Source organism: Homo sapiens, chromosome 6 (genome assembly GCF_000001405.40).
Source record: "Homo sapiens chromosome 6, GRCh38.p14 Primary Assembly".
Classification (NCBI taxonomy): domain Eukaryota; kingdom Metazoa; phylum Chordata; class Mammalia; order Primates; family Hominidae; genus Homo; species Homo sapiens.
In genome coordinates this window covers 68,931,830-68,959,623 of record NC_000006.12, presented here as the reverse complement: position 1 = coordinate 68,959,623, position 27,794 = coordinate 68,931,830, and the positions used below count along the sequence as shown (strand labels likewise).

Below are 27,794 nucleotides of genomic sequence, written 5' to 3'. Positions count from 1 at the left end.
TTTTCAGTAGACATCATAACAGCTTTAGATTAGATCCAGATGATTAATCATTATTTTCATTAATTATTCAAACAAAGATGTTCATATATATTTCTCCTTCCTGACAACAAAAGGCCTCTTAGTAAACTTGATTAATTTGTTTTGACTCCAAATTAAGTGAAGTATAAAATAAACAGTAGTTGTTTTCAGCAACTTGAAGAAAAATTAAGAATGAATAGACTAAAAATAATACTAGAAAAAGCATATTGTTTAAAAAAATTGTTGAAGCTTTGTTGTTAACACAAAGACAAAGATGCCTTAGAAAAATGTTATGGTAATTTGAAAGTTTTCTCAATTTATATTGTCAGTGTGTAAATTTGAAGCAATATAATGGCTGAAATTAGGAACGCTATACTCATAATCACAACAGTAATACACATTGACTACAGAGAGGACATTGAACAGAGTTGGAACTCCAGTATATAAATCAAGTACAATATGGAAAACAGTTATCAAAAACTTGATAAAATAATTTGGGGATGATGTGACTGCACATAAAAAGTTAAATAATTAATATGAAAGAAAAACCCCTTTTGTAAATTAAAAAAATTCTCTAAGAAAGCAGAGGTATTTTTGAAATTAACAGTCACACACAATTTCTGATGGACAATGCAATTTTTGTTTATATAAATGCACCAGACAAGGATATATTCAAAAGCTTGGTGTATATGTACACACACACACACACACACACACACACACACACACACACACTATTTTTCTTTGCCCCTGTATAAGTAGTGATGTTTAAATTATTTAGCTGATTCAAGAATTCTTTTTAATTATGAAAACGGTATCTATATGCTTGTAAGTAATTTATGGTTATTTTCATCTCATATAATTGAAAAGAGTAAAATGAAAATGTTAATAATAACAAAAATGTGTAGTGTATATAATTTTTTTTTTAGTTTTATGTGATATTTTTTTAACCTGCCTTAAGTCATGAAAGCCAGCAAACAAGCCCGGCAAATAAGGTACACTATCTTTTTCATAAATAGATCTGTAAAATGTTTTTCAAACAGCAGGTGGCAATCTCTGTAAATTTGATTGCAGCAGTACTATCTTGGCTCTATATGTGCAGATGAAAGACAATTTTAAAAGACCAGTTAAGAACTGTGGTATGCCCAGACTGGTTTAGATAACATCAAATATTGAAGGGGTTGATTTAATTATGCTTACTATTCTGTGAAATTTCTCCCTAGGCAAAATAAATGTTTTTGTTTAATACATCTTAATTCTTCTTACGCAGCACTGGAAGAATTTCACAGTGGTAATCTGAATAGGTATCATCCTCTTAACAACCCTGCATGCTGGTTACTTTTTATCATATTGAATTCATATGGTGTTAAGAATTAACAAAAGTAATTTTAGATTTTTTTTTTTCGAGACAGAGTCTTGCTCTGTCACGCAGGCTGCAGTGCAGTGGTGCAATCTCGGCTAACTGCAACCTCCACCTCCTGGGTTCAAGCTATTCTCCTTCCTCAGCCTCCTGCGTAGCTGGGATTACAGGTGCATGCCACCACGGCCGGCTAATTTTTGTATTTTTAGTAGAGACGGGGTTTCGCCACGTTGGCCAGGCTGGTCTCGAACTCCTGACCTCAGGTGATTTATCTGCCTCAGCCTCCCAAAGTGCTGGGATTACAGGTATGAGCCAACATGCCTGGCCCTAATTTTCGATCTTTTTTAAGCCCCCACAAAACTCCAACTGACATATTGTTACTCTTAAAATCCAGTTCTGTTGTTATTCTTAGTGTTGTACTGTGAGAAGTCTTTATAATACTAACTTTGGAAAAATACAAAGCTTTGACTCCTGGATAGCTCTTAGAATACCTTGGTTCTTCTAAGTTGAAACAATCATGTGAGATAAAGGCAGAAATTCATAGCATTCTGAACTGAAAAGGAACCTCAAAGATCTCACAACCAGCTGTACTCACTGTACCCCCAGGAATCAGACAGCCAGAGAGATCAGTCAGCTTGCTCACAGAGTTACTAGCAGCAACAGGATTCTAAGTGGGTCTTCAAATTCTCTAGGTTCAGCACGTTGGCACTATATTGTCAAATTTTAAAATTCTGTCCTATCACATCTTTAGTATACTTATAATATTTTTCTTAGGATCTCATTCTAAAATCCTGACTTTCACTTACTTATTGAGTCCTCAGTGTGTCAATAATATTTTAATGGAAGGTACACATGATTAGGAAGGAGTTTTTGTTCTAAATGATCCTGTAAAATATGTGCTGTATAATCTGGGCAGTTTCTGACCTTTCATTATTTTCTCTGCTTATATGTAAAATCTTTTAATGTAGCAGGACTTTCATTTTTTCATTAGCAATTAAGACTTTATACTTTCATTTTAAAATGCATTCCTCATAGGAATTTCCTTTGCCAATGAAAAATGGGGCAAACGCAAGTAAATGTAGATAATCAAGGTCACACATCAAGGTCAGAGTAATTAGCAACAGAACTTAAAAGCATCTGAATGTCAGCGACACTTCTTTATCTTCTCATTCATTTCTTATGTCTTTACATTTCCAGTATATATATCCTAAGGCAACTTGTTTTGTAATCTCCACAAACAAATATTTCACATGGAACGATTCTATGACACATAAACAGGGGATGCCCCACATAGTACAGAAACAAGTAAATTGCCACCTATCATTAGTAGTTCTTTAGTTGAGGAATATGACCCTTAACCAATGACAATATTTTTAAATCTTTTTTTTTTCACGTTATGAAATGTTTCTTTTGGGATAATTTGGGTTCATTCTCACCAGGGCATCGCTGCTCATTGCATCTTCTCACTTCTTCGCCCGTTCCTTCACATTGCTGCCCTGTTATCACTGCACCCTGACAGGTCCTTATTCGCCTTTCCCAGCCGCCATCACAGGACTTGGAACAACCACTCCAATGACCCCACTGATTCCATTGACCATTGGCTGAAAGAAATGTTTCATGGTCAATGTCAGTCATCTACCACACACTCCTTTAAAAATTTTAAAATCTGAGAATGTTACTACCCCTTCCATTTTTGTTAATCTACTACTGTGAATAAACCTTATTCAAATATTTAACTTACAGGTCAAATATAGAGCATTGCGAAGAACAGTGTAAAAAAGTGTAAAAAGTGCAAGCTCAGTGCTAAACTTCCTCAAATGTATTCGTAGTTCATCTCCTGAATTTTATTACTTTATTAGCATGGCATACATTAGAATAAATTCTGGTATAATCGGCTTCATTAATAAATACATGTATACACACACACACACACACACACACACATATATATATAATGATTATCTTCTTTCATGACCCTCTGGCATAGTTCTGACACATTTTATAATGTGCCCTTTACATGGTACGAGTGCCCATGATATGCAGGAATCAAGCCCTACCTGTACATTCAGGGTTATAGCACTCTCTGCTTTCTGCCCATGGCCCTCTGCATTCGGAGCCTCCATGGGCAGCTGCAGTGCACTGCCGGCTTCTCTGCTGAGTCCCATTCGAGCACGTTACTGAGCACTGGCTCCACGAACTCCACTCTTGCCACTGTCCATCAACTACCAAAGCAGAAAAAGAGACAGCATGAGGATATCTTCCAATAGGACAAGCTGTACAGAAAGTACCTGGTAAAACCACCCTTGAAGATGAACCCCAATCAATGGACTATGAATGAATACAATGGAAGGTCACACCAGCATGAGATTTTATTAACTCCCCAAATATTATTACCTTATTTTCCCACTTTTATTTTATTTTATATATCCAGCATATCTTTTTTTTTTTCATTTGGAGATGGAGTCTTGCTCTGTTGTCCAGGCTGGAGTGTAACGGCATGATCCCAGCTGACTACAACCTCTGCCTCCCAGGTTCAAGCAGTTCTCTTGCCTCAGCCTCCTGAGTAGTTGGAATTACAGGTGCCTGTCACCACACCCCAAAATAATTTTTGTATTTTTAGTAGAGACAGGGTTTTACCATGTTGGTCAGGCTGGTCTCAAACTCCTAACCTTAGGTGATCCACCTGCCTTGGCCTCCCAAAGTGCTGGGATTACAGGCGTGAGCCACTATGCCTGGCCTCCAGTATATCTTTTGATTCACTTATTTCTTCAAAAATATTTATTGATCACTCAAAGATGCAATACATTGTGCTAGGAGATGGGGTACATGAAATAGTGAACAAACTAAATACTGAGCAAGACCTTATCGAGCTCATATTTTAGAGAAAGAACCCCTAGAAATAAACCATGAATTACATGCTAGATAAATCAATTACATGGCAGTGTTGCAAAGGATAGTTTCAGGACATTGTGAGATAAGACTTTGGAAGGTCCAGAGAGTCTTTCTTGACAAACCGAGGCTTCAGGCAAGCCTTGAAGGATAAAGAGAACATACTTAGGATAAAGGTATGTTCCATGCAGAGGAATATACAAAGATCTTTGGAAGAAGAATCATGGGCATTTCCAGGAACTGGATGAAGGTCATTGTGAAAGGCATCTAGAGTGCTGAGTGAGGAGAGATTGCAGAAGTTTTAAAAAAGAGAGAGGCTAGATTATGAAAAACTTTCATCAGCTGTGTTAAGGATTTTGGATATTATTCTCAGGTGTTTAAGAAGCCATTGAACACGCCTGTAATCGCAGCACTTTGGGAGGCTGAGGCAGGCGGATCAAAAGGTCAGGAGATCGAGACCATTCTGGCTAACACGGTGAAACCCCGTCTCTACTGAAAATACAAAAAAATTAGCCGGGTATGGTGGCGGGCGCCTGTAGTCCTAGCTACTCCGGGAGGCTGAGGCAGGAGAATGGTGTGAACCCGGGAGGTGGAGCTTGCAGTGAGCCAAGATTGTGTCACTGCACTCCAGCCTGGGGGACAGAGCAAGACTCCGTCTCAAAAAAAAAAAAAAGCCATTGAACGATTTAAATAATACATAATACCATAATACTATGATCAGATCTAGTGTAGGATTGAGAACAAATTACAGAAGTTGGGAAGGATCTGAGCTGTGATGATGAGGCAGTGCAGATGCAGTGTCTTGGAGAGATTAGAAAGTTACTAGGAACGGGTGGTAAGAAGAAACTGAAGAACTGGCCATGGGAGCTGATGCAAAGAGAGGATCCAGGTGACTCTTAGATGGCTGTTTTCTGATGACTGGAATGTAATATAGACTGTTCAGCTTGATTTATCTTTGGGAGATTCAAATTGAGATTCATGTATTAATTCATTCAAATAATTTTGAGAATCTATTAGTCATCAGACACTGTGATAGGTGTTAACAAGATACACAGAAATAAAAGAATATAAATCCTAACCTCAAAAATTTTATAATTTAGGACATTCTGCATGCAAATGAATAAATAAATAAATAAATGTTTAAAGACAATACCATCTTAACATGAAACATGAAGTATTTAGGCTTTCAGAGGACATACTGCATCTACTGGGGATGTAATTATAATAGACACAGAGTGGTGAGTTATGGACAATTTAGACAAAGTCAGCATTGACAAAGGCACAATCCCATATGCCACAAAATAGAAATAAACAAAGGATTTAACCAAAAATACTTTCTAGATTAGAATGTGCAAACTAGCATGTAAAGGTTATAAATGCATCAGTCTGTGGATGTCTACTTTTTTCCAAGATCAGTTCATTGTTCTTAGTCAATTTGATCACAGGTGAAAGAGAATTCACCACAAATCTAAAGTTTCAAAATAAGCTAATGGTGCTATGAAAATCCATCCAAATAAACAAGAAAGCCTGGCAGAATATAATAAGTACTTTCAATCTAACTTCAAGCCTTACATGTAGGTATTAAAAAGAGATTGTTTAACAGGCATCCAGCTGTACTTAATAAACCCTTTATGAGATTAAAAATCACAAAATGCCAATTTAATCATTCCATTAATGTAATTTTAGCATCTCACTTTATTACAAGTGCCTGATACAATCATATTGGTTATGTAGTCTATTTTCCAGACTAAAAAGAAAATTCTAGTGAAGCAATAGGATATTATAAATTATCTATTTCCCCTCTATTTTGGCTTTAAACATGAGTGCATTTTTCATTTCAGAATTTTTCTATTCAAAGATAACATTTATTGAGCTTGCAGTATGAAGCCTCACCATCCTAAGCATTCTGAGAAGGGTTTATAAAAAGAGATTCATGCCCTACACCTTACAATCTATTTGGCAAAAGGATGTACAGTTATCCACATTATTGAGAACATTCAGAAAGAAAGCAGCACATTAACAAAGGTGAATTAGGTGCTGCTAAGCTAATCTTAGTGCTGAGTGACTAGAATAAAGGACTATGTGATGTCCTTAAGTATTCTGCTTTAAGGTAAATTTTGAGTATGATTTATTATGAATGCAATAGTTATATGTTTTCTGGCAAAGAGAGAATAAGAGTGTCTAGCAAAGTGTGGCATCTAGAATGTGCAAGTCAAATGTCGAAATCAGAGAGAAGATAATTTGGCAGGGGACTGTATTTCTATGAAGAATTAGGAAGGACCTTGCTGAGATGATATTAGGAAGAATGAGAACATCTATTTGTGAAGTGTTTTGCTCCTCAGGCTTTTACTGAAATAAGACTGCATCAATAATAATAAAATGTTTTGAGACTTTAAATTCATATATTTGTAGTTATAGTTGTTCAATCCTTTCTAACCATGTACATATTCTGTGTTAATGTTAAAGCTTAAGAGTGTTAATATTAGAAATCTGAGGAGCAATTTGAGGTTCAACGCTACCATAAACATCAACAAAACATGTATTTTAGATGGGGTCAGTTTTGTTCACAAAGTCAGTAACAGAGAAAATAATGAAATTGAAGATACATCAAGTGGGCATTTTTTGCGATTTTATTTTACACTGAGAACCAAAAGATCCTTTTTGAAAATTAATTGCACTTTTTTTTGCAAGCTTTTTAATTTTTTTTTATTATACTTTAAGTTCTAGAGTACATGTGCACAACGTGCAGGTTTGTTACATATGTATATGTGTGCCATGTTGGTGTAATTGCACTATTATGAAGGAATTGGCTTGACAAAATAACTCATTGGATATGAAAAACAAAAGAGGAAAGGCCTAATATTTCTTTAGTGTGTCAAGTCCAAATCATTGAGAAAATAGATAATTGAAAAGTCAGGTAGGAGATGAATATATAAATTTAACTTAAAAAACTAGACAACAGACTATATATATATAAACACACATGTAATATATACACACACATACATATATACAGACAACAGACATTTTATGTATATATATAATTTTTAGTGTCAAATATGAGACATTGTTTTATTTTTAAGTTTTTCTTTTCAGTGATATTCTGGATTAAAAAAAATTATTAATGGATTTGTTTTATGGGCCGCAGCCCCATAACACTTCTAGAAACACTAGTGTCATTTTACTGAATGAGAAAAAAATAGAGAACAGGGAGGCTTTGGGGGGGTAGAAATTAAGAGTTCTGTTTTGGATATTTAAGCATTTCCAGATAGAATTTGTGCATTATCTTTTAGGGATAAATGTAGAGAAATGTAAAAATAAAAACAATTTATCATATTATATATCTCTATTTCTTTTTTTATAAACACTCATCTAGGTTCTCCAAGATGTGAAGGAACAGCTTTTTTCTTGTTATCTGATGTTTAACTGGGGAGCTAAAGTGGTGAGGAAGCTGCTTCTCCTTCAACCCTGCAGGCAGGCTTGACTTTTTACCGGGCTCAGCAGCGAGGTAGTAGAGACAATCAATGTCTCTCCCCACTCAATGCCTGCTCCTTGTGTATGGCTTACTTCCAATATTTGTAAGAGGGACCTCTCAGGGTCATTGCAAACCTACGAATTTAAAAATACCTCAAAGCTTTCTTTCTGAAACTGTCTTTCTATTGAAAACTGATTCACATCTCAGCATTCTGTCAGAAAAGAGTTCCCTGGTAAGCTGGGAAAACGTAAACACTCCACAATCCCTCCTGGAGTCTCGTAACACACACAGGAGTAAAGATTTATAGAAAATTTAGTCTGTGATTGGCATTGCTCAACTGCGCCACGGGGGAGCTGTGGTGATAAGGACTGGCTGAGCTCTGCTCTTATGAACATGTAGTCTGGGGGCTGTAGTGGGGGCAGATGATAAACGAGTAAATGAATAAACCAGAGCGTTTCACTAGAGGTGTTATGAAGACAACGTGATAAAGAGGGCGATGTGATAGGGAGTGCTCAGGCAGTCTCAGGAGACGACGATATTAGAGCTGAGTCTGAATCACTGGACAGAGCCAACTCTTAATTTCCACCTCCCCAAAGCCTCCCTGACCTCCACTTTTTTCTTATTCAATAAAATGACATTAGTGTTTCCAGAAATGTTATGGGGCTGAGGACTGTAAAATAAATTCACTAATATTTTTTTTAAAATCCAGAATAACACTGAAAAGAAAAATTAAAAATTAAACAATGTCTCATTTTTGGCAATAAAAAATCTTTTACATGTAAAATATCTGTTGGCATGTGAAGATCTGTGTTCAGGAACAGAGAGAAGACTGGGGCTTGTGGGGATCCTGGAAAAGGAGAGGTGGAAAGAGATGGGTTCAGATGCTGTGCAGAAGCCAGATCTTATAGGGCCCTATAGGCCATGCGACCAGGGAAGATGCAAAGTATGAAAAGATTTTAAAGAAAAGAAGTGATAAGATAGAATTTACATTTTAAAACCTAATATTGTGGTTTTGTGTAGAACGGATGGTACAGGGGCAAGAATGCGTACTGTGAAATATTGGAGGACTATACTGTATGTAGTCCAGAGAGAGCTGATGGTGGCTTGAATTATGGTGGCATCAGTGGGCATAGAAAAAACATGGATGAATTTACAATGTTTTCTGGATGTAGAGCTGGCAGGTTTGTGGTAGGGTGCAGAAAAATAGAAAATTAAGGTTGACTTTTAGGATTTTGGCTTAATCAAATAGGTAAAGGGTTGATCATTTTATTGAACTGGGTTAGACTAGTGTTCAACAATCTGGGTGTCTATAGCCCTTAAATCAAAATTTCTATCTTTTTGAGGTTAAATTTGGAATGCCATTTTAGACACAAAGCAGCGAGTACTGCAATAAATAACCTTTGTTTAAAAATTTACTTCTCAAATTTAATTGAAATGTAATACCTAACTTCTTTTTTAATTCATAGAACACCATTTAATAAACAATGAACTAGAATACATAATTTCTTCTCTCATATGTAGCCAGGTCAGAATCAACACTTTCTTAGGCTGTTTCAATTTCTCTTCTTTCTCATCAGAAGCACTTGCAGTTGGAGGTATAAGTTTAAGATCAACTTGGGAAATACAGTGGGACCGTGTTGCTACAAAAATAAAAAATAAAGTTAGTTGGGTATGGTATTGCGCACCTGTAGTCTCAGCTACTCAAGAGGCTGAGGTGGGAGGATGCTTGAGCCCAGGATTCCCAGGTACAATGAGATAAAATCATGCCACTGCACTCCAGCCTGGGTAACAGAGCAAGACCCTGTCTCTAAAAAAACAGAGTACAACCTCTTGCTTTGGGCATATGTTGAGAAGCAAAAATCTGTCTTCCATTTGCCATTTTATACTAAACTACATAGAAGGAAAATAAAAATGCAACATCATTTTTAAAAATTAGAATTAAAATATAAACAAATGATAATGGTAAGGCTAAGAAGGATAAAAAAGTTGATAAGTTAAAGTTTGAATGAGAAAAAAATATTAAATGGTAAAAGAAAGCAAGCCAAAATTAATAAAGACACAATTAATTTAAAAATCTTTTAAGCTAAGAACTGAAAAAGCACTGGAATAATGCCCAAAATCTAAAATGACATAAAACAAATATAATTGTCATACAACAGGCTAGAAGGCTAAGAAGATAAAATCCATATCAATTAAAGAACAGGTTAATGAGGCAGTATTTGAGTTACAAATTATAACAACCTCATGCAAACACAATCAGGGACCTTTGAACCAAGTTCCAGCAAATGTTGAGAATCTTTCCATTCACTGTCTTCACCAGAAGGGCACCCTGCAGAGAGACTGAGGGCAGGGCATCCTCCCATAGATGCTGTAGACCAAAATTTTAGGTTCATAGCAGACTGAAGCCTCTCGCTCTATATAACAGAAATATTTGGGTCTACCTGTTTATGAGGCCCTACTCTTAGGTGATTCTTTCTCTCTTCTTAGAGTTTGTAAGAGTAGGAAATATATCTGGAATCTGCAACATGGCAGCATCCCTCTGGCAGGGTTTGGGCTCCCAGGAAAGCATTTCTCAAATGCAGCTTGACGGGTGTGACACTGCTCAGCTCAACAGACTGACACAGCTTGTATGAGGGTATTTCTTCCTAGCAAAAACCTGGGAGAAGAATCCCTTTGAGTCTATGACTAAGACAGTAGAGCTCAATAATTATCATAATACTCCTAGTTTATTTGACCTATTTCTTCCAAAATCTCTTAATTTTAAAGTAATATATTCATATAAATCATTAAAAAATCCTCTACATCGATTTTTTACTATTCAAAGTATTTCTACCTAATTATAATAATATGTCAATCCTGTAATATAGAGGGGTAATTAATACTGACTCCATTTCATAAAAAAGGAAATTGGAAAATAGAGTATATAAATTGCCCAAGTAAATATTTTAATTAAGGATTGTGACTGAACTTTAATCCATATCTTCTGAATAACACACCACTTTTTTTCCCACTGAATCATATAATTAAATCCATTTATATATATATGTCAGTATACAAATGAAGACTTATTTACCAATAGAACTTTCATTTATTTTAGTCTTTAATCTGTCACTCAATTACTATTTATCCTTGTCCCCTATATTATTTATACTCTACTGCATGGAAACATATCAGATTGAGAAGTGTCCACGCTGAAAACAGTAAGAACTAAACTTAAATCATTAGCTCCTCTAATATTCAACTACTGACTAGGGGAAAATATTACTATAAAGTAAAAAGCTATAAAGAAAATTAGCATAAAACTTCAGGCTTTTAACTAAGATCTTAAGCTTTTTATGTTCCCCGAAGTGTTTAATTTTGGAAATGGTTATATAAATTTTATTTTGGGTATATATATCTATATAATTTTAATGGCAGTCATACTGGAAAATGCAACTTTCCATTATGTGCGACACTTTTCTCCTGTTAAATATTAATAAAAATCAAGACCATTAAGGACAGAGGGTTCTAAAGTGATCAAATCACCGTAGAGGGGGAATCACCATAAAAAGACACTTACAGCTAGACCTAATTAGCAGCTTGCCTGATGCTCACAGAAAAACTGTTATCTCTAGTTAGACCTAAACCATATCAGAAAACATCAGTAGCATACGATGACACTTAAAAGACAAAAACAAGGTCACAGTGCAACTCACAAAGTACCAAATATTCTTCTTTCTCAGCTAATATAGTGACTGCTATTTCTTTACCAATTATGGCTGGTCTTCCCTTCACCTAGATGATTTATTAAGGTTTATTATCCAACCATAGAATTGTCACACCTTCCGAACAGCATCCGGTTCAGAACAAAGGCCGCTCGCTTCCTTAAACCCTCTGCCAAATCACTTAACACAAGCTCAAATCCCTTAAGTAATTCAAACACTCCATTGCTGAGATCCCCACAGTTCCCTATGTTAGTTTCCCCTCACTCTCAAGAGTAACAAATTCAGCTAGGTCAGCTACAGGTGTGATTCTGATGAACTTTGGTTGAAGGGCGTTAACATACTACTTCTAATACTTTCACAGTATTTGCTCCCTATCAGGTTCTCTACTTTACAGCATCTCACAAAGTCCACCCCATTACAATAGTATTACAATAGCATTACAATAGTAATACCCATCCTATGAAGTGGGTATTACTATTGTCCCCATTTTACAGATGAATAAACTGAAGATTAGATGAGTGACACAATTATATTAAAAGGTAAAAATCTAAATTTAAATATGTGTTCTCTTGCAAAAGTCCAAGATCACTTTCCTCCATCATATCAATGTATTATGAAACAGACATAGAAAATGTCCTTTAAATTTTGGGATATTAGAAATTTGGATATGTTCATGTCAAGAAAGTCCACTTAATAGTAATTTTTCTTGTTTCCACCAGGTATATATAGAGTTGCATGGAGAGAGAAACAGGAAATAAAAGAAAATTTATTTATCCTCAAATATGTAAATTATTAATTGAGAATTGACCATTAAGAAGTCAATTATCAATTAATGACTACAATGAAAATTCAGAGAAAATAGAAAACATAGTTTGGACCACCAGAACTTTGGTGAGATAAGTAAAACAGACCACAAAGACCACTGAACACACACATACACACACAAACATGCACCTTTCCATAATATTTTAATTATTAGTATAGATTACAAAAGAAGGAATAGACCACGTTATGTTTATGAGCCAGGAAATTCCTTTTGTTGCTCTATGCCTCTTGCCTGTCTTGCTTCATTAGTATCAGCCCCCTGTTCTCAGACAGGGGATGCAAATTAGTAACTAACAACTCACACTAGGAAATACTATACCTTCATTTTCCTTCCTCCTTATATGGATCCCAGGCAATGGTTTTCTCTCACCTCAAAAGAAGTGGGAGGAAGTTGTGCATTGACTCAGCAAGGAATCTGATAGCATATTATCTACTTATAGGTATATATCAAACTCTGAATACATAAAAGTATTTCATTGTTTGATACAAACAATGCATGTCATTCCTACATAGTGTCTATTTCGCTAGAGTGGTTTCATGCAGTTTATTAAAAGCAGGAAGCTTTACGACTATAATGCTTTAACATTATCCCACACAAAAATGTCACTGCCCATTATTACCACAGCCCACCCCGTCAAATCCTGCAAAAGTAGTGAGTAGTGGGAGACACAGTTTGTGGTTTTACATGTTTCTTCTGTCCTCCTCTTGTCCACACTCTAGTGCAGGTCCTGATCTACATTCTTCACTGCTGATGTACCTATCATAGCTTTATTCTTTAATATGATAGCTTAGGGATATCATGTAGTATGGTTAGAAAAAATGTTGCCTGAAACCACTGAATCCTCAAGTTACCATCTTTCATTGAAGCTAGCGTATTTATATGAGGTTTTCAGAAGTGCATTCAACTTTGCATATGCTTATGTCTGAATCTTCTGAATGGAAAGGAAAACTTTTGAAATCAGGGACTATATATACTTCTCAGCAGTGCCTTACATCTCATTGATAGTTGATGATGCTTTCATACCCAGTGAAGGTGCCTGAGTTCAGCTATAAGATGATGAGTTCTAAAGAGAATTTCAAATGTTTCCACCAAATAAACCTACATATTTTAAAATCATAACGTCGATTTTTTTGGCACAGCCTGGAAACTTAAAAAAATCCTAGTTATTAGAGTTCACTTTCAGATACTAAGTTCATAGGGATACAATGTGATAAGAATTCTACATCTTTTATGATGCAACTAAATTCAAGAATGAAAACAACGGAAGTCAGAAATGGCACATGATACGTTTAAGTACTCAAGGATATGCCCATATGTTCACTTATGAGAGACTATGAGCTAGGCTACATTTACAAATAATATAGTCATAATGCACAAAAACAAAGGACCTACATGAAAGAAAGCCATCTGATTTTATTGGACTTAGAGTGCTTCCAATGATAAGATAATACCACTAATATCCAAGTAGCTTAAAAACTTGTGTTACTACTTGAGTGATAAAGTTCCACAACCATATCAACTTAAGAAAATAAGTTTTCACATCTGAACTGTAACATAGCCTCTCTACTGATATCTAAGGATTTTGCTCCTAGAAAAGTTAATGGAAAGTAGACTATGAGAAACTTGGTTCACAATATTTTAACCAATCAATGCCATTTTTATGTTTGTATTTATGAAGTCCAGCTGACATAAAAGAAGTAACAAAAAAGTATTTAAAAAGTTTCTATAGTTAGTTCTTGTCTTTTATTTCTCCATATTGTCTATTTCTTTGCACTTCATGGACAAATAAGAGTAAACTATATTTGATTCTATGTAAATGTTACAGCTCAGCATTGAAAAAAATTTAAAAAGTATAAATTTTTCCAAATCTTTGTTGAAAGCACAAGGCATCACTACATATGTGTGTGTCTGCCTGCCTGTGTGTTTATAGAGAGAGAAATAAGACAGAATGTTACTGATCTCATAAATAGATTTTCTAGTACTGGTTAACAAATAAGTAATCATGGTTTTGACCATCTAATATTCATAATTGTATGAATATTAACTCATAAGTTACACTCATAATTCACAGAATTAATAAAATTTTAGGAAATATTTATATTAGTCAGTAAAATAATGTAATTATAATTATTTGCCTTCATCTTTAATTCTAGTCATTAAGTACAGGAACCTAGTAGTCCTTCTCTGAAGGGAACAATTAAGTTTGTTAGATGACTTTTGCATATCTACACATTGGATTGTTTTTCATATTCTTCACGTTTTATATATTTAAAACTTCCAGAAGGACTTTGAAGCATTGCTTCATAGTTCAGGACATTAACTTGGGGGTATTTAAACGGTCAGTGGGACTGAGGGTGAGTTTCAGGATATGTTTGGAGGACAACAGTACTGGGATCCCAGCTATGTTGCTTGCATGCAGAATATGTGACTAAATGGGCTAATGAGAAAATCTCCCCAAGAAGAGAGCGATTACTTATACTGATCTTTGCCATCTTAGCCTTTGCAATTATCCATTCATGTCTATCTCTTTCTTTAAAATGTGTCTTTGCTAACCCTGAGAGATTATATCATCTATGTGTGTGTATTTTCTTCTATAACTTGTAAGTCCTTTGAAGCTGGACATTATTCTTATTTATTTTGGAGGAATTTGTTTGATGTTGGAATAAACTAAATGACAGCATTGTGAAGGCTTCCCTCTAGCATAATGGGTGAAATTAATTATCAAGGATAGATAAAATAGAATAGAAACATTTTAAAGGAAAGAAAAATTTTAAAATTTAAATTTAAAATTAAAAATTTAAGATAACATAAATACACTCTAAGAACAGACTGTATAGACTTCATAATCCCATAAAGATTGTAAATTGTTTACAATTTAGCCATTTTATGCATCCAGCAAGAGATCTAGAAAGTCTGATTCCCTAGCACATGGTCAGTGGTACATTGCCACTCCCTAATTGAATAAGTGTAAGAGAATAACATAGGAAGAACTGGCTCTAAATCAGATCTCCCTAGTTCCAGTGTGAAGGCAATAATTAATCTCAAGTCTTTAGGATTCCTTGTAATTTTCCCAGAAGGAAAAAGCAAGTGCAGATAAAAGTCTTAGTGAAAAATATTAATATACACATTTGTAGAAATATAATAAAGGTAAATGTTGATTGACACTAAAGGACATATTCTACAATACTACATATGATAGAATCAAGAAAAGTACCCAGTTTTAGGCAAGATACAATGAAAAGGACACATTTCCCAACGTGACTGAATGAAGGTTGTACTCTTAATATTTCTTGTGTACACTAGGAATCATATAAAAAGCACATAATGCAAACATAACCAAATGCAGAATAGGCTCACCTGGGCAAAGAGCAATATTACAAGGCTTATGATGTGTTTCAGGTCCTTCACACGGCCTTCCTCCATACTGAGGAGGTGTGCATGACCTTGTTCTTGTTCTTTGGCCTCGACCACATGTAAATGAACATAAACTCCATGGTGACCATTCCTCCCATACTCCGTGTACTGTAATAAAGCAAAGAAGCTTCAACAACAAAAGCAGAGCAGTAAAATCAAAGATCATTTTCTTTATAATTAAAAAGCAAAACTCATTAAATAGACAAATGTAAAGATATGTTAAAACTCAGTTGAGATAACATTCTTATTTTTTATAAAATACAATTATTAATTTAAAAATTCGTTAAAATAATGAAAAATTGCATGTGCTTTTTTCTACATTTGAACAGTAATTCATGTCATAAATTTTAAACCTTTCCTTGTGTTTAATGGAAATGCACCTCTCTCCCTTATGGTAAAACAGTCACAAATTATTTTTAAGTTGAAGTAATATCAACTAGTAATATAGAAAACTAAATCTCTTATAACAGAGATAATCTCCTAGAGTTCAGTTTTTATTTAGATAGCCAAGGCCCAACATAATTCTCCTAACATTTATAAAATTTTGGGATTAATGACTTCTATTATATTAGAAAATTTTAAAAAATCTGAAAATTGAGAGTGCATATTAACTTTTAACATCACATTTTAGAAAATAGATTTTTTGCCATTTAAAAATGTGGGTTTAAAGTTACCATATTTTGAATAAAAAGAATTTCAAACAGAGTGTCTACTCAAATAAAATATTCCTCTTTGCCCTGTTTCAAAATGAATGGAAAATACGATAATCTCTTTCTAATGACGATGAAACCAGAAGATGCTTTTCCTCCTCTAACAACTTGATAGAACTGGAAATTTAACTAATTTATATAAATTTCTAAAGAAAATAATTATGCTTAACATAAATATGAATATATCAATTCTTCAAACATACTACTACAATGAATTCACAATTGATCTTAAATAACATAATTTGTGTTCTTTCAGAATAACCACTGTGAATAAGTATTGTTATATTTTGCAAAAGACCATGAAGATTCAGTATTTAGGCTGGGCGTGGTGGCTCATGCATGTAATCCCAGTGCTTTCAGAGGCCAAGATGGGCAGATCACCTGAGGTCAGGAGTTCAAGGCCAGCCTGGCCAAAATAGTGAAACACCATCTCTACTAAAGCTACAAAAATTAGCTGGGCATGGTGTTGTGTGCCTGTAGTCCCAGATGCTCAGGAGGCTGAGGCAGGAGAATCCCTTGAATCTGGAAGGTGGGGGCTGCAGTGAAGTGAGATCATGCCACTGCACTCCAGCCTGGGCAACACAGCAAGACTCCATCTTCCAAAAAAAAAAATATTCAGTGTTTGATCCCTTCCCTGCATGGTCAAATCACCACTCTCATCCTAATTCTTAATACTTGAGACAATACATAATAGCACCCTAATAGACAACATCAATAAAAAGGAATGAGAAAAAATGTGCTTTTTTGTTCAAAAGCTCCTGTCTTGATGTTGGACCTCTAGTCTTGCTATACTCTTAGAAGTTCAAAAGGCCAGATGTTTGATATGACACCCACAGATATGATTAAGGAGAGTAGAAATTTATAGAGGAAAATGACTCCCCAAAAAGTTCATTTTTTTCTTTAACATTGGTAAGGGTAAGCCCAGGTTCATAAAAAGTGGCAGATGAAATACGCAAGTAAATATAATACATCTAGAATTTTCTTCATATGTATGCTTAGCAAGTTGTTACTTTAGAAACACACATAGTATACCTTAATTGTGAGATACCCCATCCCTTTCTATTGGTGTTATTTATTTGCCTAAGTTAGTTGTGATAGGATGTTTAAATATTGAAAAAACAGCCAATAGAAATATTCAATGTAAATCTCTTTAAGATTCTGAGAACCTTGTTGGGAAATATAGTTTTAAAATAATATGTAGGAAAAAAAAAGAGGGTGACAAAAAATATGATGTTTTACTTTTTTCCCATAAAATTTTGGGAAAACAAAAGCCAATTTATATCCATTGATATATATATATATATAAAAGTAAGTCTATATTTAGCTCTAATAAAATTAAATATATATAAAAGATGCATATACTACCCACATATATAAATATTCATATATGTATATATGATCAATTATGGCAAAATAGTTTAAAAGTACTTACATTAATATATTTTGGCATATTAAATGAATATTTTTATAAACTATTGCATTTATTTCAAATTACCAATATTTCTCCTAAAACAACCTTTTCTCCTCCAATTTTAAAAACCTTTTCTCCTCCTATTTTAAAAACCTTTTCTCCTCCTATTTTCTCCTCCTATATAAAAAGTTAATGATGCTATGTAAAATTCATATTGCTGCTTCCGCTCATTTTTTTTTTCTGTCAAATCATACTGTTCTATATTGCACAATCCCAGAAAAAAAGGAAGATGCTAAATTGGCATATTTTCCTCCATGAATCTCAAAAAATGTTGATTAACCTTGATGGCTTAGTTAAATTATGAAACTGGAATCTTCAGAAAATTAATCTTACTTAATACTTTCTAACAGTCTTTATGGCTACACGGTAAAAGTTCATGGCTCATTCACATCATTTTAAAAAAGATTTTTTTTCATTTGACAAGGATACAAATCACTAACAATGTTATTTTAGATACTATTGAGTTAGTAGAAAATTATAGCACATTCCACATAATGTTTATAGATGCTATTCATAAGACCAATGTTAAAGATTAGACATTTTTATTTTAATGGCAAATTGTTATATATTTTTTAATTTTGCAGCAAAACATGAGAATCTATAAATGGTCTAGTTCATTTAAAATGATCCTAATAAAACCAATATATTTAAATGAAATTCCTTCATTTTTATAGTTTTCCTCCTTAGCTTAGGCATTAGCTGTATTATTATATGTCTTTTTGTGATAACTAGAGACGAAATGAAGAATATGCCATACACAAAATATATTCAACCATATTTTGAAACAAACATATATAAATTTTCTCGTGATTTAGATTGAGCTGTACATAAAATAAGTGAAAGGTTTCATTTTATTTATTTTATTTTGAGACGGAGTCTCACTCTCGCCCAGGCTGGAGTGCAGTGGCACGATCTCGGCTCACTGCAATCTCTGCCTCTCAGGTTCAAGTGATTCTCGTGCCTCAGCCTCCTGACTAGCCGGGATTACAGGCGCGCGGCACCACGTCTGGCTAATTTTTGTATTTTTACTGGAGACGGGGTTTCACCATGTTAGCCAGGCTGGTCTCTACTTCAGGTGATCCTCCTGCCTCCGCCTCCCAAAGTGCTGGGATTACAGGCGTGAGCCACCGCACCCGGCTAGGTTTTATTTTTTAAGAAATAAATGAATATAAGAACTATACATTTAGCAAAAAAAAAAAAAAAAAAAAAGTTCAAAAGCATTCCTTAGCCTGCAGAAACTTCTGCTACAGGATTAAAGTACATAAAGAGTACACCAGTGGCTCTCAGCCAGTGGCAGTTTTGTTCCCCAGGTGACATTTGGCAATGACTAGAGACATATTTGGTTGTCACAACTTGGGGGAAAGCGGGGGGCTACTGGCATCTAATGAGTAAAGGCCAGGTATGCTGTTAAACATTAAAAAAATACACAGGATGGACTCCCCCAACAAAGACTTATTGGGGTCAAAATGTCAGTAGTAATGAGGTTGAGAAGCCCTGGAATAAACCATAAAATTCAACTAGGGCAATAAATTGTGCTATTGAAAGTAGCGCTCTATTTTTCTCAATTTTCTTTGTTTATGTCCATTGTTTTTTACTTTGAGTAATAAAGGCTTTTGAAGAGAGTACAATGTCAAAGCAAAAATTCTGCTAAATGTCAAATACCTTAGGATCCATATTGAAGTAACATATTGCATAATTTAATTAAGGCAGACTTCTGAAATTTGAATATGGGTGAATGGTCACTAATTTATAACACTATTGATTAGATTTTATAGTACAAATAAATATAACTTCTAATTCTATAACTCCACACATTTTGTGGAAAGTGACTTTAATATTCAATTTGTTCATTTATTGTGTCATTTTCATTAATTAAATGCCAAATACATTTGAGTGTCCAAAATGTGACAAATCAGTTACTGATTTCTGAGTTAATTTTATTCTTAGGAATTTATTATTTTAGGAAGACATTTCTATTGTTTAAAACATTACATTTTAAAAAGTCACTTTTTGTCACTATTTTCAGGATATGTTAGATTGCAAAGTAAGTACATATTTACCTGCACAACAAATAATAACATAAAATATTTGAGCACAAAATATTTCATAACAAATACCATAACCAGATGAAAAAATTCCAATTCTTATAGTGGGGCACTTATTCTATATTTTTAGTTTGCTAAATTATCCTTTATGTTTGGAAAATTAAAAATAAATAAAACTTTTCTCATTTTCTTTACTTCAACATTCTGAACTAAAACAATGATTAAAAGATAAACTTCTTCTCAATGGTACTACTTAATCAAATTTAGAAGGAAAAAGACTTCATGCATATAAAGGTGAAGAGGGGCTAGTAATTGGTATGCAGTTCTGTAGGTGTAAGGGTAAAAGGTTTGAGTCACTTATGCCTAGTGTTCCATTATTGGAACACTAAGCATGTGGGAGTTATTTATATTCTACTGCTCAAGGTCATCACCAAGATCTGATTTTTCAAATTCAAAAAATTGCTACCTCAGGCATAAATGGGGACGAAAAACTTTAATTTAAAAATCTTTAAGTTATGGAATATTAGCCTTCTGGACATCGGACACAGTGCAAAGGTGGATTTGGCAGTTCTGTGGGGGAGAAGCGCTCTGATCCCACCACAGATGTTCTCTGTGAAGGCATTAATCAGTGGTCTCTGGTAGAAGGAAGGCAACTTTCATATGTCATCCTTATAAATGTGCATAACTAGTGGCTGGGAAGTAGACTCTGAATGGAAAATTTTTGAGAACACTTTCCAATCCACTCAGACTCACATTTGGAGATCCATTTGCCATAATACTATCCCTGTATGTTGAAAGGGTCTTGGCTATTCAAACACAGGCTGATTAGATAAATTTATATTTCAAGTACAGCATAATTCTTTATTGACATTTTTCTCATTGTCAAGGACATAAAACTTGATCCTGGATCTCCTTATTTCAATACTGTAAGTAGGGAACAGTTTTAAGTATTCTTCCCAGAAAACCCACTGTACCCACACCCAAATGAAAATAAGTATCTACCCTTGTGGTATGAAGATTTCATTTCTAAAACATGTTGGTCAAATGATATGTAATCACAGTTATCTAGGAGGAATAAATTCAAGAGATCTATTATACCGCATGGTGACTATGGTTAATGACTATATATTGCATTCTTAAAAAATGTAGAGAGAGTGGATGTTAAATGTTCTCAGCACAAAAATGATAACTATATGCAGTAATATATTTGTTAATTAGTTAGATTTAACCATTTCACAACATATATATATATATATATATATATATATATACCTCAAAATATCATGTTATACAAGATAAAAACATACATGTTACCTGCCAGTTTAAAAAATAAAATAAAATAGAATCCCCTGGTCCTTACTTCTACTTGTTTTTCTTCTGTTGCCAAATGTACCTAGAATCTGTCTGCTCTATGAATTCTGTTTTTAATCATATTTTTCATCTTCCCCCTTTCACAAACTCCTTAAACATTTTTTCTTGTGAATCTTTTTTTGTTTTTACTTCATGCTTTTTTCTTGCTCTAGTTTGATTTCCACTGAGCCTCACTGATTTTTCTTGTTCTTAGTGGCAATTATTACTCTTTGCCAGTTAATTCTGCCTTTCTTTCCTCATAGGTTTCAGTTTTCTGCCCTGCTTAGCTTTTAATTCTACTTCATCTACTGCTTTGTTAACCTCCCAATTCTATTCTAAAGGGATCGCCCACCTCATTGCATCATTCCTCCACCTTCTGCCCACCACTCTCTTTACTTTTTATTTCCTCCACACTGTCCTTTTTTATTGTGATAAAAAGCATATAATGTAAAATTTACCATCTAATCAATTTTTAGTGTACAGCTTAGTAGTATTACCTATATTCATAATGTTGTGAAACAGATATTCAGACTTTTTCATTTTGCAAATCTGAAACTCTACACCCATTAACAACTCTCTCAGACTGTCTTTTAATGGACCCCTTTGCATATTCTGCTGGAAAACTGACATTATTCCTGTTCTTACTCCGTGCCACCCACTCTCTATTCTTGCTTTTAGCAACTGTGGAGTCAGCCATCTCTAGAAATGGAACTTAATGAGAAACTTCTAAGCACAAGCTAGCAGATGAAAGGCTGCCGCAGTGCAAGTCACTTTCTTTACACCCATCCCCTTTTGGAGGTCCCTGGAAAGGCTGTGAATGCAAGTCCACTGTCAACTGCAGCTGTCAATATGTTTATAGTCACCCATCCACCACATAAATGGTTAGACAAAAAGATAAATCTGGAGATTCACAACATCATGTGCTTTGAACTTCTGGAAACAAAGCCCAGAGTCCTATTATTACTTATTTTTACATGAAAGTCTGTAGTCTGGGAGGGAGAAATGTCTATAATATGCATGCGTGCATCAACTGAAGAACAAAATTGTGATGTAACATGGAAAATCTGACACTAAGTGGGCATGCTATTGTTATGCTTCATTTAACATTAAAGATCTCTCTCTCTCTCTCTCTCTCTTCATTAAGTTTAATTTAAGTTTACAAAGCAGCGGATACCTCTGATGATGAAAGTTACTTTAATGAAATAAAATACCAAGAAGTTATTTGGTCAGGGACACTCTTTTCTTTGATAGGGTCAGATAAGTGATAGAAAAACTGCTGACTGCCTGACAGACTATGTCAACCACTGCCTTAAGCCATGAATATACATTATATTTTTAGTATGTAGGCAGATTACATTTTTCCTCAAGCATTCAATTGAACATTTTCACCATCTAAAACACAGAAAGATAATTGAACCTTAAATATTATTAGAAGTAGATACACACAGATTAGAAACTGATATTTGCAGTGAAGAAAGGAGCCATTTACCTAATTTGCTGACTGCTTTAAAAGCAGAAATAATCACAGACATCTTAAAATATTACAGTTGAATAATAATTACACTTATCCACTCTAATCAAAATGCCTATACCCGTTTCATATGAAAATAACAAATCGTTCCAAATGCGTAGCATGACACAATTCAATAACATCCACAGTTGTAGTTGCTGCTAACACTACCTGGACAGAGGGCAGTGTTATTGCAAACCCTTGATTCTCTTAATGGGCCGCTGCAGTGTGTCCCGTAAGGTGATACACAAGTTCTGGTTCGCACCTGCGACCCTTGACCACAAGTAACCGAACATGTGCTCCACTGGGACCACTCTTCCACACCAGATTCACCTGCGTGCAAGACAACAAATAAACATGAAATACTGTCTTAAGTATTCATCTAGTAAGCATTATACCAAACTGACATTATGACATGCAAGAATAATTTAAATGTAAAAATATGACCATACATCAAAAGGTACATGAAAACATTTCAGAGAAAATGAAGTTTAAAGACGAATGCATATAATGCTGATGCAAACACCAAGTTTTGCCATAACCTTATTAGCAAAATACTCTTCACAAATTACACTGTACCATGGACACTATGAAGGAACTAATGAGCATTTTTCAATGTGACTATTTGTTGAGGTGATTCTCTTCAAATTAATCTAAGACTTTGTATTTTGATGGAAAAGGAAGCAAAATATATTTCTAAGCTTACTCTATGGCTTTGGCGGCAGGAATATATTGATGTGTTCCTCCTTAGTCCTTTATTGCATAACACCCTTTCTAATGCTAGATGATGTGGAAACCTGGGAGCTTGGACGCATCTAATTTATATTGTATTGAGTACTGATATTTATAGTTTATTACTAGTGCAGTTCCTACTTTTTCATACTATGATAGCTGTTTATTTTGTGGTAATTTATTTAAATCCTTCTGCTAACAATTTCACCTATGATCTAGAGTAGTGATTTTTTAACTCAAAATAAAGAAAAATTTCTTGATAATTTTCATTAATTTGATATGGAATTAAAATTTATTTAAAATGGAGTTCTAAAAAGCTAATGAATGTCTAAATTCATTAATTTTCTTGGAGTTAGCATCTCAATAAAACTATGTCGAATTTCTTTTATTATGTCTCAAGGAGACTCAAAAGTCAAACATTTCTATGACCAACGAAATACACTTCTGTCATGGCATCATGTTCAGGATGAATTTTAAAAATTGATTGGAAAATTTGCAGTTGTTTTCTCCAAAGTCACACTGGATCATTTAGCTGCTAGCAGTTAACTACTTAAGTTAACCATTTAGTCATTGAAAAAAAATTTGTAGGTGAAATGTTTCTGAAAACTTTGTATCACTGATTAGTAGATCAAAGAGCAATTTAACAATATTTTATGTTTCTGTTTATAATTTGCCTTTGGAATAGAATTCAAAGGATAGAATATGATCATGTATTTGTCCATCGTTTTCTAGAGAGTTAGTAAATGACTTGAAAATTATTTGCAGTGCTACTCAAGGCAGCTGGTCCACAAACTAGTGCTCTAGGGAAGAAGGAGTTTGGGCCAGAATGTAATTCAACACACAGATTTTCTCAGTGAGAAATTTGTTCTAAAAATGAAATGTCAGCTTAAATAAAACCTGTGCTTGATGAAGTAGTTGGTTTTACATTCTGATGTAAACTGCTTATTCCTTTGAGAGACCATAACGGCCAGTTTGCGGACAAACACTGATCCACTAACCACACTTTGAGTAGTACCATTATGACGCATTTGCTCTTATATTGTTCTGCATCATGCACCAAGAGGCATAGATGACCATCTGTTTATAACTGGACATATATTGTAAGGGCACAGACAATAGTAACTGGGATGACAGATTACATCAAATGGGACTGCTTTTCAGTGTTGTGATCAATGTGACTTGAAAATAATGTATAGATAACCCTTCATCAATTCAGAATTTTTTTCTTCACAAATTTATATATTGCTAATTTCATAAAAATGTCCTTGGATGACTATTTGAATAACAGTTAAAGCCATGCTTCATAATTTGTTCTTTTACATTAAAGAATACTCTATCAAGATTGAAAATCATTATTCTATAAACCAAATAGAAGGATAATAGTTAAAAAATCCACATATATGTGTATATGTGCATGTAAATTTAGCAATAGAAAATTTAAGCTGAAGTTAGGGAAAATATAATACACTTTTTAAAATGATGTTCTGAACTATGATGAGATTAAGTGAGGTATAAATATTATGGTTGCATGTTATTAATTAAAAGTCAGAAAATTATGAACAATGTGGATTCTATAAGTGAAATGATAAAGGTTATGAATAAAATTAGTTCTATTTTACCATAAAAGCAGTCCTTTTCCTCTTGCACTGTCATAATGACAGAAAACATAATTTAACTAAACTGAGCAGTGAATTCAGATCAAGCCCTATATTTAAATTACTTTCGTACAAGTATTTAAACATTTGGGTTGCTTCTGAATGTATGATACTGCAATGATGCTGAACAGGCTAAGCAGTGGTGACTGGATCATGAGAGTTTGATAATGAATGCTCAGAATTGGTCTTGTCACTCTTCCTCTCTCTTCATTGATCAAAAATAAACTAAGTAAATAAATAAAACATTGGCTTTCAGATTTTGAATTAAAATTTTGCCAGTGAAATAGTGGCCTACCTATCAAAATGTTCTTGTTATAACTCAAATCCCATAGTTTCAGTGACATTTCCACTAAATACTTCTTTTTTCCCTGCTGCCACTTCCTTATTTATAAAAGTATGAAGAACATTCTAGTCAAGCACATTAGGCCATTGTGAGAATAACTAATATACATTATAAGAAAGATGTTAAAAATATTCAATGACATTAAAATAGTAAACTATAAGACAAAGTATACTGTTTTTAATATATGTATCTTTGGAGATAGTATGAACTAAAAGCTCTTTAGTCTAGCATGAAACACAAAAGGAAACTGGAAAAGCATTGCAATTAAAGTCAGAAGACCTGTGATTGATGGAAATCTACTGAATAATAGCTCTGTGACCTTGAGAAAGTCATTTTATTTCTTTGAATGTCTTCGATAAAATGAATATTATATTTACTTCAAAATCTGTGAAGATTGAGTGAGATAATATGTGAGAATGCATTTTAAATTATGAACAAAATATTAATATAAACTTTTGCTATTATCTTAAAGTCATGAAATTAGAAATGTACTTTTAATTTTATTTATTTATTCATTTATTTACTTATTGAGACGAAGTCTCACTCTATAGTCCAGGCTGAAGTGCAATGGTGTGATCTTGGCTCACTGCAACCTCTGCCTCCTTGATTCAAGAGATTCTACTGCCTCAGCCTCCTGAGTAGCTGAGATTACAGGTGTGCGCCACCACACCCAGCTAATTTTTCGTATTTTTAGTAGAGACGGGGTTTCACCATGATGGTCAGGCTGGTCTTGAACTCCCACCTCAGGTAATTCACCCGCCTTGTAAATGACAAAGTGCTAGGATTGCAGGCATGAGCCACTGCACCCAGCCTAATTTTATTTTTTAAAATTTTAGATAAAATGCTACATAGTCCAAATTTAGGCTATTTTCCTCACGGTAATGAAAGACTGCTTTTCTAAACATGTTTATAAATTAATTGATGACTATGATGCTTAAGCATAAGAAAATGTAACTAGGATATCTTAAGCCATCTTATTGGCATTTAATTTAGATGTCTATATTAAATATATATATTATATGATATCATTTAATTTTATATTCCTTAATAATAAATAAAGATTGCATGATAGGCTATTAGAGCACCATCATTTATATCCAAACTATGCTACTTTATCAAATGTTACTCTTTTTAAAAAAGTCACACTCACTTTATCACTCTGTAGAAAGATTGCTTTTAATTACAATCTTTTACTGATCATATTGATTGAAGAGGCCAGTTTACTCATTTTGAGAAGTAATTCTTAAATATTAAAGTGTGATAGCCTTTGCTTTTTTCTCCATGATTAATATAAAAATATATTGTCTTTTATTATTATTTAAATGTATGTTTTTGCCTTATTCTTTGTTCTCAAATTACTGTTAACAAATTTTATATTATTTATATGTTACAGTCTTTTTTCTGGCTTAAAGACAAATACAGGGAACACTTTTATAAGTAAAGCTTAATTTTTGTAAAATTTTATTGTGTGACACTTACCTGTATTTATTCAGACTACCTTAACACCTTAAAAAAGTATAATCTAGGAAAATATTTAAGGAAAAATATTCTTCTCTTTTTCACATTATAATTGTCTTCTGTTAAAAGTCTTATACATGTATTTATGTTTGTCTATACTATATTTGGTTAAAATAAAAGAATAAATATTTATTATTCATCATTTTGAAATTAGTAATTCCTTACTAGGAAAACACAATGTTCCTTGAAATTTGAATTTACCAAAAGGGTTTTGGCTGAAAACTGTGAATTGAACTATGTCACAGACAAATAAAAAAAACTTGTACAAAAACTTTTGGCTAAATTGCATAATATTTACACATAAACTAATCATGTTACGCTATTGGAAATTTAAAACTATCATTTTCCATTTCACTTCCTATTGACTCCAATTTTTAGGAACTTCAGTAAACCAATGCCTGCCATCTCTTTTGCACAAATAAAATACACCTTTTTTAATCTTGCAGAAATGCCCCCATTAGATGGTGCCGACAAAGATGAGTAGTCAGCCCATGCCCGTGTGCCTTGACTTAATGTCTCTAATCTCTGCTCAGTGGTTGAGACTTTTTGCTCCCTGTAAAGGAGAGAAATACATTTAGAAATTTGGAAATTTGCCTAAACCTGATAATGCACTTTTAGACTTGTTCAAACAAATAGTAAAAATAAAAATCAATTTTTCTTAAACAAGAAAGTGCACAAAAAGGGATCCAGATAAGCAAGTTTCTACATTTCTGTATTTGGTTGCAATATATATCTCAAAAAAACTAAAAGTGAATCCTTGTAAAATTTATTTTA

General features: G+C 33.8%; 1 protein-coding gene across 1 annotated transcript in view; it reads right to left on the bottom strand.

Moving 5' to 3' along the window:
- ADGRB3 (adhesion G protein-coupled receptor B3) overlaps positions 1-27,794 on the bottom strand; it is a 754,225-nt gene that overhangs the window by 429,883 nt on the left and 296,548 nt on the right. Inside the window, exons 5-8 of the mRNA NM_001704.3 lie at positions 22,944-23,105; positions 15,630-15,794; positions 3,436-3,600; positions 2,815-2,979 (exon numbers count right to left, since the gene is read on the bottom strand). Coding sequence (NP_001695.2) covers positions 2,815-2,979; positions 3,436-3,600; positions 15,630-15,794; positions 22,944-23,105 — 657 coding nt within the window. The remainder of the gene's footprint in view (positions 1-2,814; positions 2,980-3,435; positions 3,601-15,629; positions 15,795-22,943; positions 23,106-27,794) is intronic.